The sequence below is a fragment of the Homo sapiens genome, chromosome 4 (genome assembly GCF_000001405.40).
Source record: "Homo sapiens chromosome 4, GRCh38.p14 Primary Assembly".
Classification (NCBI taxonomy): domain Eukaryota; kingdom Metazoa; phylum Chordata; class Mammalia; order Primates; family Hominidae; genus Homo; species Homo sapiens.
This window is the reverse complement of record NC_000004.12, coordinates 182,967,502-182,987,494: the sequence shown is the minus strand read 5'-3', so window position 1 is coordinate 182,987,494 and position 19,993 is coordinate 182,967,502. Positions and strand designations below refer to the sequence as shown.

The 19,993-nt window shown below is 40.2% G+C and overlaps 1 long non-coding RNA gene across 1 annotated transcript, besides 4 other annotated features; it reads left to right on the top strand.

The window, feature by feature from the left end:
• The first annotated feature begins 1,460 nt into the window (after positions 1–1,460).
• LOC107986327 (uncharacterized) lies at positions 1,461–19,053 on the top strand. The gene is made up of 3 exons (XR_001741935.1): positions 1,461–1,499; positions 14,633–14,786; positions 18,842–19,053. It is a non-coding gene; the product is annotated as an uncharacterized LOC107986327 (long non-coding RNA).
• Positions 8,498–8,547: an enhancer, noted in NCBI's record as "active region_22182". NCBI's record gives its function as "activates an Ori minimal core promoter by ATAC-STARR-seq in GM12878 lymphoblastoid cells {active_cell/tissue: GM12878}" and the evidence as "EXISTENCE:reporter gene assay evidence [ECO:0000049][PMID:35858748]".
• Positions 8,698–8,747: an enhancer, noted in NCBI's record as "active region_22181". NCBI's record gives its function as "activates an Ori minimal core promoter by ATAC-STARR-seq in GM12878 lymphoblastoid cells {active_cell/tissue: GM12878}" and the evidence as "EXISTENCE:reporter gene assay evidence [ECO:0000049][PMID:35858748]".
• Positions 8,978–9,067: an enhancer, noted in NCBI's record as "active region_22180". NCBI's record gives its function as "activates an Ori minimal core promoter by ATAC-STARR-seq in GM12878 lymphoblastoid cells {active_cell/tissue: GM12878}" and the evidence as "EXISTENCE:reporter gene assay evidence [ECO:0000049][PMID:35858748]".
• Positions 17,895–17,954: an enhancer, noted in NCBI's record as "active region_22179". NCBI's record gives its function as "activates an Ori minimal core promoter by ATAC-STARR-seq in GM12878 lymphoblastoid cells {active_cell/tissue: GM12878}" and the evidence as "EXISTENCE:reporter gene assay evidence [ECO:0000049][PMID:35858748]".
• Positions 19,054–19,993: the final 940 nt, after the last annotated feature.

Below are 19,993 nucleotides of genomic sequence, written 5' to 3'. Positions count from 1 at the left end.
GCATGGCTGAATCAACAGAAATGTGTTTCCTCACAGTTCTGGAGGCTGGAAGTCCAAGATCAAGGTGTCAGCAGGGTTGGCTTCTCCCAAGGCCCCTCTCTTTGGCTTGTAGTTGGCCACCTTCTCCCCGTGTCTTCACTCAGTCTTTCCTCGGTGTATCTGTGTCCTTATCTCCTCTTATGACACCAATCCTATTGGATTATGGCCCACCCTAATGATCTCATTTATACTTAATGGCCTCTTTAAAGACACTATCTCCAAATACAGGCATATTCTTAGGTACAGGTGGTTAGGACTTTAACATATGGATTTGGAGGGAACACAGTTCAGCTCATAATACGATGTATTCATCTCCTCTAGGTTTTCAAACGAATTGTCCCAAATTTGTTCATATCTTATAATCTGTTTTCTCTCCAGCCTCTAGAGATATGTGCATATTAATTCTTAATTAGTTTATATGTCTCTCTGTTTTTGTTTCATTAATCTTGCTGTTGTCTATTTTATTAGTATTGTCGAAGGCCAAATTTTTAGCTTTGTTGATTCTCTATCTTGGAACTATGTTTTTTATTTTATGCATTTCTGCTTTTATGTTTATTTTGTTGTTTCTTCTACTTTTGGGGGAATTATTCAGCTGTTTTTTTTCTTGCTCCATAAATTGGATGCTTAGGTCACACAGTTGAGACGTCTTTTCCAGTTTAAGCATTTGAGGCTATAAAACTCACTCTTAATACCATTATATCTCATATATTTTTAATATGTACTAGTTTGTTATTCTATTTTAAATATTTTATAGTTTCCATTAGAGTCTCTCGCTTCTGTGAAATTCTTTAGAAGTGTGTTTTGTATCTCTAAAGGTATGAGGATTTTCTACCTTTTTTGCTATTGATTTCCAATGTAATTGTCTAGCGGTTAAATAATACGTTCTGAACAATGCCAACCTGCTGGAATTTATTGAGGTTTTCTTAAAGCCTAGCATGTGGTCACTTCTCTAAATGGGTAAATGTATACTTGAAAAGAATATATATTCTGAGAGAGAGAGAGAGAGCGAATCATAGATCCTGATTGTCTATTGTGCTATTCTAATTTTTAACATTATTACTGACTTAAAAAAATCTGTCTCTACCAATTACTAAAACAAATGTTAGAAAAACTTCAACTATGATTGTGGATTTGTTAATATCTCTTGTAGCTGTCAATTTTTTACTTCATGTTATTTGAAACTATATTATTAGTTGTATAAATGTTGTATCTTCCTAATGAGTAGAATCTTAATCATTAGGTATAATATATGTCTAATATTACCCAGAATTGTTTTGGTTAACATTTACCTGGCATATCTTTATTCACTTTTTTGATTAAAATACATTTTTTTTATAGACAGAGTCTTGCTTTGTTGCCCAGACTGGAATGCAGTGGCACGGTCATAGCTCACTATAATCTCAAACTCCTGGGCTCAAGCAACCTTCTCGCCTCAGCCTCCTGAGCAGCTGGGACTACAGGTATGTACCACCATGCCTCGCTAATTTTTTTATTTTTAATTTTGTGGTAGAGATAGGGTCTCACTATGTTGCCCAGGCTATTCTCAAAATCCTGGTCTCAAATCATCCTTCCGCTTCAGCCTCTAAAAGCACTGGGACTACCGGCATGAGCCACTATGCTTAGCCCTTTTTTTTTTTAATTACTGTATCCTTATGTTTTAGATAAGTCTTTTATAAATATCTTGATTTCATATTTTTTTTCAGTTTAATAATATTTGTCTTTTAATTGGCAGGTTTCACTTAACTATTTTTTTATCTATTTATATTTGGATTAATTTATTACATCTTGTTGTATATTTTCTATTTGTTGTGCTTTCTTTTTTCCTTTTCTTCTTCTTTTTTTTTTTTAGACAGAGTCTTGCTCTGTCACCCAGGCTGTGCAATGGCACGATCTTGGCTCACTGCAGCCTCTGCCTCCTGAATTCAAGTGATTCTCTTGCCTCAGCCTCTCGAGTAGCTGGGATTACAGGTGCCCACCACCACACCCAGCTAATTTTTGTATTTTTAGTAGAGATGGGGTTTTACCCTGTTGGCCAGTCTGGTCTCGAACTCCTGACCTCAGGTGATCCGCCTGCGTCGGCCTCCCAAAGTGCTGGGATTATAGGTGTGAGCCACCGCGCCTAGCCTCTTTTCTTCTTTATGAATTATTTATTTTTCCTTCTCTATTAGTTTAGAAGTTATATTGTGATGTCTATTATTTTAGCAGTAACTTTAGTTACTTAAAATGCATGGTTAACAGTCTAAAATTAATTACTAACTTTACCTTCTAATAAAAAGATACAAGTTCTTATAAGGCTATAATCCTGATCACCCCTTCCAAATTCTACACTATTTCTGTCTAGTATTTTTACTTTTCTTTTACCCTATAAACATTCTTATTGTTTTATTCTCAGTATTTGTTTATATTTACCTGATATTTGCCAGTATCTTTGCTCACCGTTCCTTGAATCTCAGACCTTCCTTTTGTAATAATTTAACTTATTCTTGTCCTTGAAATTTTCTTTCATGTGATTCTCCTAAAGTCAAGTTCAGCTTTTGTTTGCCTGAAAAGGTCTTTATTTTACCCCTTCTCTTGAAAGATTGTTTTACCAAGAACATAATTGTAGGTTGACAGATATTTTATCTCAGCACGTCAAAAATATGGTTCCACTGTCTTTTGAGTTACCTTGTTGATGCTGAGAATTCATCAGTATAATTGCCATTCCTAACTAAGTAATTCATCTTTTCTCTCTGATTGCTTTTATTATATAGTCTTCTCTTTTTCTTTGGTGTTCTGCAGTTTGGATCTTCCTAGGTGTGCATTGTTTTAATTTATCCTCCTTGTTATCAGTTGGGTTGGTTGTATATGAGATTGATATATATATTCAACAATTTCTGGGAAATTCAGCTATTTGATATCACCTTTATCCTCTCTATCTTCTCCTTCTGGAGGTCTAGGCAGCTGAGTTGTACTTTCTCACACTAACCTCTGTCTCTTCATGCATTTTTCATATTTTTTAGCTATTGATCTCTTTGTGCTATATTCTGGTTATTTCTTTAAATCTATCTTCCGGATAACTAATTTTCTTTTCAGACATGTATTATCTTCTGTTTAACTTTCCATTGAGTTTCTAGTTTCAGTGATTGTATTTTATCTCTAAAAGTTCTGCAGAGTTCTTTTCCAAAATAATCGATTGTATGATCTAACATTTCTACCAGCAATGTTCAGTGCTCTGCATTCTCACCAACACTTGGTGTGGTCATATTTGTAATTTTAGCAATTTTAGTGGATATGTAACGGTGCTTCATTGAAGCTTTAGTCTACATTTGTCTGATGACTAATGATATTGAGTATCTCTTTATGCACTTTATGGCTATTCCTATATCTTATCTTGTGAATGTGTAACATTTTTGTCTACTTTTAAAAATTATTTAACCTTATTATTGGATTGTTGATGTCTTCATATATTTTGTATACAATTCTTGGTCAGATATATGTCTTGTGAATATTTCTCCCAGTCTGTAGTTGTCTTTTCATTTTCTTAACTGTGTTTTTTAGTTCTTTTTATATTTTTTGTATTTACTAGAGCTTATATTTAATTGTGTCTTTTGAAGTATGGAAATGTTTGTTCATAAAGTCCAACTTATCAACTTTTCTTTTGTGTTAAGTGCATTCCGTGTTCTGTCTATAAAAGCTTTGCCTTTCCCAAGATTATGAAGGCTTTCTCCTGGAAAATTTATAATTTTAGCTTTTACAATTAGATATATGATTTATTTAAGGCTAGTTTTTCTCTATTGTGTGAAGTAAGGTTTAAGGTTTATTTTGTTTTCCATATAGATAACTAGTTGTTCCAATATCATTTGTTAAAAGATTATCTTTTCTCCCATTTGATTACCTTGGCACTTTTGTCAAAGATTAGCTGATCTTTTTTACATGTGGGCTTATTTTTGGACTCTGTGTCTATATATTGATACATGTCTATCCTTATATGGAAACTACACTGTCTTAATTACTGTAGCTTTATAGTAAACCTTGAGAGCACATAGAGTAAGTCCTCCAAATTTGTTCTTTTTTTTTTCAAAATAGTTTTAATTCTTCTAGGTCTTTTCATTTCTGTATTTTAGAACCAGCTTGGCAATTTATACAAAAAAAAGAGTCTTCTGGGATTTTGACTGGGATTGTGCTTATTCTGTAGATCCATTTGGGGAGAATTAATACCTTAACATTACAAAATACATGAACAAGGTACATCTCTCTATTTATCAAGATCTCTAATCTGTCGCCCAGGCTGGAGTGCAGTAGTGTGATAGGTGGCTAGCCAATTATCCCAGCACCATTTATTGAAAAGGATGTCCTTTCTCCACTTTATATTTTTGTTTGCTTTGTTGAAGATTAGTTGGCTGTAAGTATTTGGGTTTATTTCTGGGTTCTCTATTCTGTTCCGTTGGTCTGTGTGCCTATTTTTATACCAGTACCATGCTGTTTTGGTGACTACGGCCTTATAGTATAGTTTGAAATCAGGTAGTGTGATGCTTCCAGATTTGTTCTTTTTGCTTAGTCTTGCTTTGGCTATGTGGGGTCTTTTTCAGTTCCATATGAATTTTAGAATTGTTCTTTATAATTCTGTGAAGAATGATGATGATATTTTGATGGGGATTGCATTGAATTTGTAGATTGCTTTTGGCAGTATGGTCATTTTCACAATATTGATTCTTGCCCATCCATGAGCATGGGACGTGTTTCCTTTTGTTTGTGTTATCTATGATTTCTTTCAGCAGTGTTTTGTAGTTTTCCTTGTAGAGGTCTTTTGACTCCTTGGTTAGGTATATTCCTAAGTATTTTATTTTTTTGCAGCTATTGTAAAAGGGGTTGAGTTTGTGATTTGATTCTCCACTTGGTCACTGTTGGTGTGTAGAAGAGCTACTGATTTCTGTACATTAATCTTTATCCAGAAACTTTGCTGAATTCTTTTATCAGTTCTAGGAGCTTTCTGGAGGAGTCTTTAGGGTTTTCAAGGTAAATGATCATATCATCAGCTAACAGTGACAGTTTGACTTCCCCTTTACTGATTTGCATGCCCTTTATTTCTTTCTCTTGTCTGATTGCTCTGGTTAGGACTTTCAGTACTACATTGAAGAGGAGTGGTAAGAGTGAGCATCCTTGTCTTGTTCCACTTCTCAGAGGGAATGCTTTCAACTTTTCCCCATTCAGTATTATGTTGGCTGTGGGTTTGTCATAGATGGCTTTTATTATACTGAGGTATGTCCCTTGTATGCCGATTTTGCTGAGAGTTTTAATCATAAAGGGATGATCATGTGATTTTTGTTTTTAATTCTGTTTATGTGGTGTATCAAAAATTTATTGACTTGCATATGTTAAACCATCCCTGCCTCCTTGGTAGGAAACCCACTTGATCATGGTGGATTATCTTTTCGATATGTTGTTGGATTTGATCAGTTACTATTTTGTTAAGGATTTTAACATCTGTGTTCATCAGGGGTATTGGTCTGTAGTTTTCTTTTTTGATTATGTCCTTTCCTGGTTTTGGTATTAGGGTGATGCTGGTTTCATAGAATGAATTAGGGAGGGTTTCTCTACCTTGTGGAATGGTGTCAAAAGGATTGGTACCAATTCTTCTTTGAATGTCCAGTAGAATTCTGCTGTGAATCCATCTGGTTCTGAACTTTTTCTTGTTGGTAATTTTTTGATTACCATTTCAATCTCACTGCTTGTTATTGTTCTGTTTAGGGTATCTAATTCTTCATGATTTAAGCTGGGAGGGTTGTATTTTTCCAGGAATTCATCCATCTCTTCTAGGTTTTCTAGTTTATGTGCATAAAGGCGTTCACAGTAGCCTTGAATGATCTTTTGTATTTCAGTGGTATCAGTTGTAAAATCTCCTATTTCATTTCTCAATGAGGTTATTTGGATTTTCTCCCTTCTTTTCTTGGTTAATCTTGCTAATAGTCTATCAATTTGATTTATCTTTTCAAAGAACCAGCTTCTTGTTTCATTTATCTTTTTATATTTTTGTTGTTGTTGTTGTTGTTTCAATTTCATTAAGTTCTGCTCTGATCTTGGTTATTTTCTTTCTTCTGCTAAGTTTGGGTTTGGTTTGTTTTTGTTTCTCTAGTTCCTTGAGGTGTGACCTTAGAGTATCAGTTTCTGCTCTTTCAGTCTTTTCGATGTAGGCATTTAGGACTATGAACGCTCCTCTTAGCACTGCCTTTGCTGTATCCCAGAGATTTTGATAGCTAGTATCATTATTGTTGTTCAGTTTGAAGAATTTTTTAAATTTCCATATTGATTTTGTTTTTGACCCAATGTTCATTCAGGAGCAGGTTTTTAAATTTCCATGTATTTGCATGGTTTTGTAGGTTCCTTTTGGAGTTGATTTCCAGTTTTATTCCACTGTGGTCTGAGAGAGTGTTTGATATAATTTCAATTTTCTTAAATTTATTTAGGCTCATTTTGTGGCCTATCATATGGTCTGTCTTGGAGAAAGTTCCATGTGCTGTTGAATAGAATGCATATCTTGCGGTTATTGGATGAAATGTTCTGTATGTATCTGTTAAGTCCATTTGTTCCAAGGTATAATTTAAATCCATTGTTTCTTTGTTGACTTTCTGTCTTGATGACCTGTCTACTGCTGTCAGTGACGTATTGAAGTCCCCCACTATTATTGTGTTGCTGTCTATCTCATTTCTTAGGTCTATTAGTAATTGTTCTATAAATTTGGGAGTGTCAGTGTTAGGTGCATATATGTTTAGGATTGTGATATTTTCCTGTTGGACAAGGCCTTTTACCATTATATAATGTCCCTCTTCGTCTCTTTTAACTGCTGTTGCTTTAAAGTTTGTTTTGTCTGATATAAGCATAGCTAACCCTGCTCACTTTTGGTGTCCATTTGCATGAAATGCCTTTTTCCACCCCTTTACTTTAAGTTTATGTGAGTCCTTATGTGTTAGGTGAGTCTCCTGAAGGCAGCAGATAGTTGGTTGGTGAGTTCTTATCCATTCTGCAGTTGTGTATCTTTTTTTTTTTTTTTTTTTGAGATGGAGTCTTGTTCTGTCACCCAGGATGGAATGCAGTGGCATGATTTCAGCTCACTGTAACCTTTGCCTCCTTGGTTCAAGCGATTCTCCTGCCTCAGCCTCCTGAGTAGCTGGAATTACAGGCATGTGCCACCATGCCTGGCTAATTCTTGTATTTTTAGTAAAAACAGGGTTTTGCCATGTTGGCCTGGCTGATCTCAAACTCCTGACTTCAGGTGATCCACCTGCCTTGTCCTCCCAAAGTGCTAGGATTACAGGTACAAGCCACTGTGCCCAGCTGGTTCTGTATCTTTTAAGTGGAACATTTAGGCCATTTATATTCAATGTTAGTATTGAGATGTAAGGTATCATTTGATTCATCATGCAGTTTGTTGCCTGTGTACCTTGGTTTTTTGGTTTTTCATTTTTGCTTTTTAAATTGTATTTTTGTTTTATAGGTTCTGTGTGGTTTATGCTTTAAAGAGGTTCTGTTTTGATGTGTTTCCAGGATTTGTTTCAAGATTTAGAGCTCCTTTTAGCAATTCGTATAGTGGTGGCTTGGTAGTGGTGAATTCTCTCAGCATTTGTTTGTCCGAAAAAGACTATCTTTCCTTCATATATGATGCTTAATTTCACTGGATCCAAAATTCTTGAGTGATAATTGTTTTGTTTGAGGAGGCTGAAGATAGGGCCCAAAGATTTCTAGCTTGTAGGGTTTCTGCTGAGAAGTCTGCGTTAATCTGAAAGGTTTCCTTTATAGGTTACCTGGTGCTTTTGTCTCACAGCTCTAAAGATTCTTTCCTTCATCTTAACTTTAGATATCCTGATGACAATGTGCCTAGGCGATGATCTTTTTGCAATGAATTTCCCAGGTGTTCTTTGTGCTTCTTGTATTTGGACGTCTAGGTCTCTAGTAAGACCAGGAAAGTTTCACTCAATTATTCCCCCAAATATGTTTTCCAAACTTTTAGATTTCTCTTCTTCCTCAGGAACACCAATTATTCTTAGGTTTGGTTGTTTACTATAATTCCAGACTTCTTGGAGGATTTGTTCATATTTTCCTATTCTTTTTTCTTTGTCTTTGTTGGATTGGGTTAATTCGAAGACCTTGTCTTCAAGCTCTGAATTTCTTTCTTCTACTTGTTCAATTCTATTGCTGAGACTTTCCAGAGCATTTTGCATTTCTATAAGTGTGCCCAATGTTTCCTGAAGTTTTTATTGTTTTTTCTTTATGCTATCTATTTCCTTGAATATTTCTCTCTTCACTTATTGCATCATTTTTTGGATTTTCTTGCTTTGCCTTTCTCTGGTGCCTCCCTGATTAGCTGAATAACTAACCTACTGAATTCTTTTTCAGGTAAATCAGGGATTTCTTCTTGGTTTGGATCCATTGCTGGTGAACTAGTGTGATTTTTTCGGGGGTATTAAAGAGCCTTGTTTTGTCATATTACCAGAGTTGGTCTTCTGGTTCCTTCTCATTTGGGTAGGCTCTGTCAGAGGGAAGGTCTAGGGCTGAAGGCTGTTGTTCAGATTCTTTTGTCCCACAGGGATTTTCCTTGATGTAGTACTCCCTGGCTTTTCCTATGGATGTGGCTTCCTGTGAGCCAAGCTGTAGTGATTGTTATCTCTCTTCTGGGTCTAGCCCCCCAGCAAGAGAGTCCTGTGATGTGAATAATCTATGAGTCTCTCAGCTGTGAATACCGGCAGCTGTTCTGGTGGAGGTTGTAGGAGGGTGAAATGGACTGTGTGAGGGTTCTTAGCTTTGGTGGTTTAATGCTCTATTTTTGTGCTGGTTGGCCTCCTGCCGGGAGGTGGGGCTTTCCAGAGAGCATCAGCTGTGGTAGTATGGTGAGAAGCCGGTGGTGGGCGGGGCCCTAGAACTCCCAAGAGTATATGCCCAGTGTATGCCCTTTGTCTTCAGCTACCAGGGTGGGTAGGGAAGGCCCATCAGGTGGGGCCAGGGCTAGGTGGGTCTGAGCTCAGACTCTCACTGGGTGGGTCTTGCTGCAGCTGCTGTGGGGGTTGGCGGTGAGGTTCCCAGGTGATCCCAGGTCAATGGAGTTGTGTACCTAGGAGGATTATGGCTGCCTCTACTGAGTCATGCAGGATGTTAGGGAAGTGGAGGACAGCTGGCAGTCACAGGCCTCACCCAGCTCCCACGCAATCCAAAGGGTCAGTCTCACTTCCACTATGGCCCCCTAACAGCCCCGAGTCTGTTTCCAGGTAGTGGGCGAGCAGGGCTTGAGAACTTGCCCCAGGTTACCTGCCTCCCAGCTGTGAAAGAAAAGGGCTTTGGTTCTTCCCCTGCTTGTGGAGTCTGCACATCGGATTTGCACCCTCCCCCGAGTTCTGGCCAGGGGGCTTCTCATCCAGTTCAAATTGTTACAAAGTGGCCAGGCGCGGTGGCTCACGCTTGTAATCCCAGCACTTTGGGAGGCCGAGGTGGGCAGATCACAAGGTCAGGAGATCGAGACCATCCTGGCTAACACGGTGAAACCCTGTCTCTACTAAAAATACAAAAAATTAGCCGGGCGTAGTGGCGGGCGCCTGTAGTCCCAGCTATTCCGGAGGCTGAGGCAGGAGAATGGTGTGAACCCGGGAGGCGGAGCTTGCAGTGAGCAGAGATCGCACCACCGCACTCCAGCCTGGGCGACAGAGTGGGACTCCGTCCGAAAAAAAAAAAAAAAAAAAAAATTGTTACTAAGTTCAGCTGGAGACTTCCTTCTCCCTGTGACATTTTCCCCCGCGCCTCTGGCCGCCATCCCGAAGGATCCCTGTGGCGCCAGGCAGCAATGTCCTGCTTGGGGACCCAGCGAGCTCCCAGGGCCTTTCCCGTTGCTTCCTCTACCCCTGTATTTTGCTCAGCTCTGAATTGACTCAGCTCCAGGTAAGGTCAGAAACTTCTCCTGCAAACTAGACCTTCGTTTCCCCAGTGGGGGTGTGTGTTTGGGGTGGAGGGTCTCCCTTTCTCACTTTCGCAGTTTGGGCACTCACAGTATTTGGGGTGTCTCCCGGTCCTGCAGGAGCAGCCTGCTTCCTTCAGAGGATCTGTGGGTCCTCTCAGGATTGCTGGGTTGTTCTGCAGTGGTTCTGGAGCTGGAATTGATGATGCGAGGCTCCGCACGCTGCTGTCTGTCCGAGTTGGAGCTGCAATCTGGTCCTGCCTGCCATCCGCCATGATGATCTCTTTCTGACCCGGGGCATATTTAATGTCTTATTTCTATTAACGTTCTATTCATGATGATATATATTCTCTAAGATGATAAAAGCTTTCACTTTCTCTACAGCTATCCTCTCTTCTTCTTGAGCTCTCACCAGACTATAACATCCGTATTTCTACTAAAGTCTTTTCATGGCAAATTAGGCTTTTTCTAGCATGCACCTCAAAGTTCATTTAGCCTCTACCCATTATCCATTTCCAAAGTCACTTCCACATTTTTAGGTGTTTGTTACAGTGGCACTCCGTTTCTTGGTACTGAAATATGTATTATCATTATTATTATTAACAGCTTGGGCTGCCATAACAGAACACCACAGACTGGATGGTTTAAATAACAGAAATTTATTTTCTCACAGTTCTGGCGACTAGAAGTTCAAGATCAAGGTGCCAGAAAATTTGGTTTCTGGGGAGGGCTCTCTTGGCTTGCAGAGTGCTGCCTTCTCCTGTGTCCTTCTAGGGCCTTTCTTCTATGCATGTGTGGAGAAAGAGAGAGAGCTCTGGCGTCTCTTCCTCTTCTTGTAAGGCCACTAGTGCTAATGGTTTAGGGCCTCAATCTTTTTTTTTTTTTTTTTTTTTTTTTTTTTTTTTTTTTTTTTTGAGACAGTGTCTGGCTCTGTCACCCAGGCTGGAGTGCTATGGTGCGATCTCGGCTCACTGCAACCTCCGCCTTTGGGTTCAAGAGATTCTCCTGCCTCAGCCTCCTGAGTAGCTGGGATTACAGGCATGCATCACCATGCCTGGCTAATTTTTGCTTAGGGCCTCAATCTTATGACCTAATTTAATTATTTCCTTAAAGGCTCTATCTCCAAATACAATGGCACTGGGGATGAGGGCTTTCACATCTGGATTTTGGGAGGACACAATTTGGCCCAAACAGTTTTCTGTCCTTTTCCATTTTTATTTTTGGCAATTTAACTATAGGTTTATCAACTTTGCTGATATTTTCAAAGAACTAGCTTTGGGATTTATTAATTTTCTCTATTGGATGTCAATTTCTATTTCATCAATTTATACTCTTATCTTTATTATTCCCTTTCCTCTACTTACTTTCATTTAATTTGCCTTCTACAGTGGTTCCCCCCGCCGCCATCCAGTTTTATTTTCCACAGTTTCAGTTACCCGTGGTCAACTGTGGTCTAAAAATATTAAAGGGGAAATTCCAGAAGTAAACAATTCATGTGTTTTAAATTGTGTGCCATTCTGAGTAGCATGATGGAAACTCCCACTGTCCTGCTCTGTCCTGCCCAGGATGTGAATCATCCCTTTATTCAGTATATCTCAGCTTTATATGCTGCCTGCCTGTTAGTCACTTGGTAGCTGTCTCAGTTATCAGATTGGCAGATCACAGGAAGATGGATGAGTGTAGTAAAATGACATATTTTGAGAAAGAGAGAGAGAGACCACATTCACATAACTTGTATGACAGTACGTTACTATAATTGTTCTATTTTATTATTAGTTATTGCTGTTAATCTCTGACTGTGCCTAATTTATAAATTAAACTTTCTCATAGGTTTATATGTATAGGTAAAAACATAGTATGCATAGGGTTTGGTATTGTCCATGGTTTCAGGCATCCACCGCGGAAGGTGGGGGGGGTCATAAAATGTATCCCTTGTGGAGAAGAGGGGGCCACTATATTTTTAGCTTCTTATTGACTGATTTTTCTCCTGGTTTTCAGCCACTGTTTTCTGCTCTTGCATGTCTAGCAATTTTTTCTTGGATGCTGAAAATTTTGAATAGTATGTTGTTCATGTCTTGGTTTTGCTAAATTTCTTTAAAATGTGTTGACATTTATTTTGGCAGGTAGTTAAGAAACTCACAGTTCCACTTCACCTTTTGGGGCTTGTCTCAGGCTTTTGCTGGGGTAGATCAACAATAGTCCTTGCTCTAGGCCTAGTTTAGCTCCAGATCTAAAGCATCATCTTAATAATGCCCTAGACGTTAGTGAGGTTTTTCCACACTGGTTGGCATGGGGTTTTGTTTGTTTGTTTTTTGTTTTTTGTGTTTTTTTGAGACAATCTTGCTGTGTTGCCCAGGCTGGGGTGCAGTGGTGGAATGCAATCTTGGCTCACTGCAACCTTTGCCTCAGGGCTCAAGCAATCCTCCCTGCTTAGCCTCCCAAGTAGCTGGGACTACGCGCGCATGCCACCGCACCTGGCTAAGTTTTATATTTTTAGTAGAGATGGGGTTTTACCATGTTGCCCAGACTGGTCTTGAACTCCTGGGCTCAAGTGATCCGCAAACCTTGGCCTCCAAAAGTGCTGGGATTATAGGTATAAGCCACTGTGCCTGGCTGGCATGTTTTCATTATCTCCCAGCCCAAAGTGAGCTCTGAGAATTGTTTGGCTTACAGCTTCCCAGGAGACCCTTGCCAGACCCATCCATGGACATATTAATATTCAGCAATAGGCTCAAGGGAATCCCTCTGTTGATTTCTATATCTCTTTATCTGTACAGATCCTACCCCTCAGTATTCTGCCTGGCAAATTCCTGCTACTTGAGGCCCCCTTGTCTCACTTAATGAAATCCCCATGTATTGCTTGGATTCTCTCTCCCTGCAGCACAGTCCAAAAAATACCTCCAGGCAGACAGCTGAGGTGGGACTTACCCTGTTTTCCCCCCTTTTATCACATATCAAAGTCCTGTGAGATCGCTTGTCCAGTGTCTAAGTCTGATAGAAAATTTGAATTTGATATGAAGCGTTTCATACCGTTGTTCAGTTTTCCAATTGTTGACGGTAGGAGGGCAAGGCCAGCACTATTTACTCCAATATGGTTAAAAATGGCAGCGTTACAATGCCTTTTAATTCATCTCTCTGATTCTATCCTCGTAATTCTCCAATCTATTTTTTCACATACCTTCCAGGGTAATCTTCTGAAAACAGAAGTCAGATTGTGCCGCTCCTTTGTTGAAGATTCTCAGCTGGTTTCCCACCTCTCTCAGAGTAAAGCCCTAAATGCCTGCCCTTGTCTAAGTCCCGCCATTACTTGGCTCCAGGTTCCCTTCTTCATTCATTGCCGTCTTCATTGCCCCCTCCTTCCCCGGATTCACGCTGCGTCGGCCATTTTGATTTCCTTCTTGTTCCTTGAACACCCTAGCACATGCCTGCCTTCGAACCTTTGCACTTGCTCTCCCCAGTGCTTGGGTCTCTGCCTGAATCTGCCTGACTCACCTGCTCTTCTTCAGCTCTCTGCTCGGACGTCAACGCATCATAGAGCCTTCTCTGACCAGTCCATTGTAAACCACCTCAGCCCCTGCACTTGATGTTCTATTCCCTCCCCTGCTTTATTTTTCTTCATAGCGTTTCCAACCACCCAGGATATTACGTATTTGTTTACTCTCTTGTCTCTCCCAGCTAGAATACAAGTTCTGTGTGAGCAAGGACTTTTTTGTTCACTGCTATATCCTGAGTGACTAGAACAGAGTGCCTAGCTCAGCAAATATTTTCTGAGTAGTGCTTAAATGAGCCAGGAGCAATAACAGAAATTCTATTTTCAACTCAGATCCTGAATCTGAGATGACTAAACTCCCACAACGGGATTTCAACCGCCTTCCTATCATTGTAGCTTGCAGAGTAAAGCTGATTATTTCAAAGTGATCATTGGCAGAATGAAAGATTTGGCAGGGAGGGAGGAAGTAAGGGAAGGAAAGAGAGAGAGAGAGAGAGAGAGACAGAGAGAGAGACAGACAGAGACTGAGTTGCCAAGCCAAATAAACAGAAAACCCATTCCAGGATTTTCAGTATGGAGGAACTAGAAGTTGATGATAGGACTGACAGAGCCTCCTCAAAGTTGTACATATTGATGCTCAAATTAATAATAAATGTACAATCTGGTTTTTTTTTTTTTTAAGACAGAGTCTTGCTCTGTCACCCAGGCTGGAGAGCAGTGGCGTGATCTCGGCTCACTGCAACCTCCGCCTCCCGGGTTCAAGAGATTCTACTACCTCAGCCTCCTGAGCAGCTGGGACTACAGGCGCGCACCACCATGCCTGGCTAATTTTTTGTATTTTTAGTAGAGACGGGGTTTCACTGTGTTAGCCAGGATGGTCTCGATCTCCTGACCTCTTGATCCGGCGGCCTCGGCCTCCAAAGGTGCTGGGATTACAGGCAAGAGCCACTGTGCCCAGCCACAATCTTCCTTTTTTAAGACGGTGCCTTGCTCTGTTGCTCAGGCTGGAGTGCAGTGGCACGATCATACTTCACTGCAGCCCTGAACTCCTGGGCTCAACCGATCCTCCTGCCTCAGCCTCCCAAAGTGCTGAGATTATAAGCATGAAACACCAAGCCCAGGCTCCAAGTTCTCACTACAAAGTCAGGGTAGGTTGTCTTATCAACTCTTTTCGTAAACCTCATTAGGTGCCATGGTACAGAGCTCCTGTAGGATAAAGACCCCTTGCCTGAGAAGCTCCTGCCTGAGCATCCCGCTTAAGATTGCTATGTTCCAAGTGGAAAAGCTGGGAGCAGAATCAGCTAGAAAATTGTTCAGACTCAGCTTGTCTGGTATTGGTCGGTAAGTGCTACATATTTACTTTATTTGTTTTCAGTTTTCTCTTTTCCGGGTTAATTATTAATTTAATAATGGGTTTCTGGTGGGACTACCTACCAGCAATGAAAAACATTTTTATAATTCATGCATTTTCATGAACTTGCCTTTCACATATTCTATTTCAGACCAGATCCAGGTTTTACAAGCACGTTTTTTAGTGTTGATAGACTTCATAAAAATTGTTTCCTTTACAATTTTTTTCTGTCTTTAACATAAAACCCAATAAAATGATAAGACACATGACTTTGCCAATTATTCTCCACTTATTGTGAAAATTAGATTGCATTTGATCTTTAGCCAGAATATATATAAAATATGTTCTGTGATGAAATAGCATTTACTTTTATTGTATTTATAGATCTTGGTTAGAGAAAAAAACTGGATGTATTGAGTGTTATAAAGAAGAAAAATTATTAAATTATTACTTGCCAGGGTTCTTCTTTCCTACCTTTTCTGGAGGAAAATTGTCAATTCAGAATTTCTCTTATGGGTCTCAGAAGCTAGTAACTTATTGACTGCAGAAAATGGCTTGTTTTACACTTATATGCAGGAGAAATATCACCTCTTAAAAAGCCTCTAGTGTGATATATAATATACAACTTATGCAATAGCTGTAGGTAGATATAACACGAATTATAGAGATGCACAGAAATATATTTTGGGGCTTCTCTACACATCTTCAAAGATTTTTCTTCTGAGGCCCATTCCCAGGGCTTTTTGTTTAGACTAAAGGAAAGATGACTATGTGGTCTTCACTGACAGTCCTTGTGATTTATGAGTTTCAGTCTAAAGTTTAGTCTAAAAAGCAAACATGCCTTATTCTCACCTGAGCATTTGAAAAGCCTCTGTGGCATTAAATATTTATAAGTTTTTGGAGATTGAAGAAATGTATTTGTAGATTATTGCGTGAAACATGTAAACTGAGAATTCGGTTTTACCTTCATAACTTTGACATAGTTGGTGCTACAGATATTTGATGGAATTCTACTGTCTATGATAATGAAATCATGATTCAAGGTTACAGTTTGTTTAGGGCACACAGGAAGAGGCAAGATGAATCTATGCTGTGCTTTTCTGATTTGCACCCCTAAAGTTCTGCCGTGAAACTCTAGGATCAGACATTCGTTTATGTAAAAACATGTATTACATAGCAGGAACTAATCTCTTTCTAATGTCACCTTATTCCACAGAATATTAATATTAGGAAATATAGTTGCATGTGGCTTTATGTTGGATTCTGACTATCTAAGCCATTTTTGTCCATAAACAAATAAAAAGGATTTTAAGACTGTAATGTAATTTCAGCAATCCTGGAAACTTTCTAGTAATAAGAATACATATTCAAAAGCACCCATCCTTCTTGCCGACGCTCAGATAGTTTAAAAATAGTCTTCCATGAAAATCCTATAGTGTTTCAAAATGCGTCTAAGCCTAAGCCAAATGCTAGTTTGAAAAGTGAAGGTACTTCCACTTCTTTCTCTCTTTTTCTCTCTCTTTCTCTCTTTCCCTCCCTCCCTCCCTCCCTCCCTTCCTTCCTTTCTCTCTTTCTTTCTCTCTCTTTCTTTCTTTTCTTTCCTTCCCTCCCTCCCTCCTTCCTTCCTTTATTCCCTCCCTCCCTCCCTTCCTTCCTTTCTCTCTTTCTTTCTCTCTCTTTCTTTCTTTTCTTTCCTTCCCTCCCTCCCTCCTTCCTTCCTTTATTCCCTCCCTCCCTCCCTTCCTTTTTTCCTTCCCTTTTTCCTTCCTTTTTTCCCTCCCTCCTTTCCTTTTTCCTTCCCTTTTTCCTTCCTTCCTTCTCTCCCTTCCCTTCCTTCCTCCCTACATCCCCACTCCTTCCTTCCTTTCTTCCTTCTTTCCTTCCTTCCTTCCTTCCTTCCTGCCTTCCTGCCTTCCTTCCTCCTTCCTCCTTCCTTCCTTCCTTCAGGGGGAGACAAAGTCTCGCTCTGTCCCCAGGCTAGAGTGCAGTGGCACAACCATGGCTCACTGCAGTCTCAAACTCTTGGGCTCAAGCGATCCTCCCACCTCAGCCTCCAGAGCAGCTGGGATTGCAGGTACGTGCCACCATGCCTGGCTAATTTTGTTTTTGTTTTTGTTTTTTTTTTTTTTGAGACGGAGTCTCGCTCTGTCGCCCAGGCTGGAGTGCTGTGGCGCGATCTCGGCTCACTGCAAGCTCCGCCTCCCGGGTTCACGCCATTCTCCTGCCTCAGCCTCCCGAGTAGCTGGGACTACAGGCGCCCGCTACCACGCCCGGCTAATTTTTTGTATTTTTAGTAGAGACGGGGTTTCACCATTCACAGGATGGTCTCGATCTCCTGACCTCGTGATCCACCCACCTCAGCCTCCCAAAGTGCTGGGATTACAGGCGTGAGCTGCTGCGCCCAGCCTGCCTGGCTAATTTTTAAAAATTTTATTATTTAGAGAGATGGGAGCTGGTTATTTTGCCCAGACTAGTCTCAAACCCCTGGGCTCAAGCAATTCTCCTGTGTCAGCCTCCCAGAGTGCTGGGATTACATATCTGCGCCACCACATTGAACCACTTCCCCTTTTTTGTGATAGAAGAAGGAGCCTGAGGTCTCCTTGTCAATGAAGACTTGTCAAGAAGCCCTCCTGGTACCACGGGAATTAGCTCAGTTAGCCTGTGCACATGGGCGAAATCTGCTTGCGGACATGCAGGATTAAATAAATATAACGGTCAAAGAAGAAATACTGAGGTCTAGAATCAATATTTACTCGTGGTATATTTGCTTGGGAAACTGATTTTAGCCTGTTGTCACAGTAAGAGTGGCAGTGCCCAGCACCCACTTCTATGGGAGACCAGACATAGGCTTGCCAAGATGAGGAAGGAGCCATCCCCTAGAAGGCGGGTGTGGCAGGAGAGTCGAAGATTAAGTGGAGGAGCATGGCTGGGTGCCAGCCACGAGGTCCTTTTCCTTGTCAGGTAGCAGCTGCAAATCCTCCTGGCTTCTGAGGTAAATATTCCTGCAAACTGATGAATATCAGGAGCCATAGCTTCAGAGGAGGGATTTATCTCTCTGAAGATGCACTGGAGGAGGGAATGTGGGGAGAACACAGAAGAGCAGCTCTCTTCCTTTGTGAGTCTAAAGACGACTCCGTTAGGATTGCACTTCCTGCTATAGTGCAGGACACAAAAATGTGGTGAGGCCAACAAGAGAGCCGTCTAATTTGCATTCGAGTCTGAGTTCAGAGCTTGTTTTCTGGGTTGGCAGGTGACTCTCCTCCACATGTCATTCAGCAACTCAGGCTGACAGGAATGATAGAAAGACAAGTCTACGGTTAGAGATTTTCTCTTAGGCAAGTGATATGGTTTGGCTGTGTCCCCATCCGAATCTCATCTTAAATTCCCCTGTGTCGTGGGAGGGACCCGGTGGGAGGTAATTAAATCATGGAGGCAGGTCTTCCCATTGCCGTTCTCATGATAGTGAATAAGTCTCATGAGATCTGATGGTTTTAAAAACAAGAGTCTCCTTGCACAAGCTCTCTTCTCTTATCTGCTGCCATGTGAGACATGCCTTTCACCTTCAGCCATGATTCTGAGGTCTCCCCAGCCACGTGGAACTGTGAGTCCAATTAAACCTCTTTTTCTTCCCAGTCTCGGGTATGTCTTTATCAGCAGTGTGAAAATGGACTAATACAGCAAGTGAGGAGAAAATTTTACACATTATTAATATTATTATTATTATTATTTTAAGATAGGGTCTTGCTCTGTTGCCCAGGCTGGAATGCAATGGCATGATCTCAGCTCACTGCAGCATTGACCTCCCAGACTCAAGTGATCCTCCCACCTCAGCCTCCTGAGTAGCTGGGACCACAGGCATGTGCCATCATGCCTGGCTAATTTTTATTTTTTTGTAGAGACAGGGTTTCACCATGTTGGCCAGGCTGGTCTCAAACTCCTGGGCTCAAGTGATCCTCCCACCTCGACCTCCCAAAGAGCTGAGATTACAAGCATGAACCACCATGCCTGACCTACTCGTTATTTTTTATCTCATTTCTTTTCCAAGAGTGGTGTCATTTGGGCACACCCAAATAAATGGAGTCATTTACTGAGGAGGGCTGAAAAATGCCATCATCACTTGGACAGTCTTTTGAGAAAGTCTGGACTACATCTTAGGTAAGTGTTCAGAAGGGTTTCATGTACTGCTGGCTCTGAAACAGTGAAGGGCCTGAGATGTCACCCTCCTTGTACAGTCACACAGACACACACATACACAAGACACCCACGCAAGCAGAAACACTAGCCCTCTGGATCAGAGAAAATAAACACTTATTTCTTTAGAGAACTTCTTAGTGCCAATTCTTAGGAGATACATTCTAAAGTATTTTTAGACTAAAAATGTCATGATGTCTGCAATAAATTTTTTGGCAACAGCTATATAAGATACAATTCACCCATTTAAATTATACGTTTCACATTCATTTAAATTCTACATTTTAAATTATACATTTTCATTCATTTAAATTATTTACTTTTTTTGCATGTTTACAGAATCATGAATCATCAAGACAATGAATTGTAGAACATTTTCATCACCTCCAAAATAAACTTTATACCCTTTAACTATCACCTCTCAATCCTTACAGCCCCCTCTAGCCCTAGGTAGCCACGAATTACTTTCAGTCTCTAGAGACATTCATATGCTAGACATTTTATATGAATGGAATCATACAATATGTGGTCTTTTATGACTGGCTTCTTTTATTTAGCATAATGTTTTCAAGGTCATCTATGTTGTAGCATGTATCAGTATGCCATTCCTTCTCACTGATAAGTCATATTCCATTGTATAGATATACTACATTTTGTTTCTTCATTCATCGATTGATGGACATTTGGATTATTTTCACTTTTTGACTATGAAGAATAATGCTGCTATTAACATTCTTGTTTATGTTTATGAATGGTCATATGTTTTTATTTTTCCTAGGGGTAGAATTGCAGTTGAGTGTTTCTATCATGAAAGGTTGTTGGATTTTGTCAAATGTTCTTTCTGCATTTATTGAGTAACTGTGTGGTCTTTGCCCTTCATTCTATTGATTAAGTGTATTACATCAATTGATTTTTGAATGTTAAACTAACCTTGCATTCCTAGGACAAAACTCATTTAGTCATGGTGTATGATCCTTTTATATGTTGCTGAGTTCAGTTTGCTAAT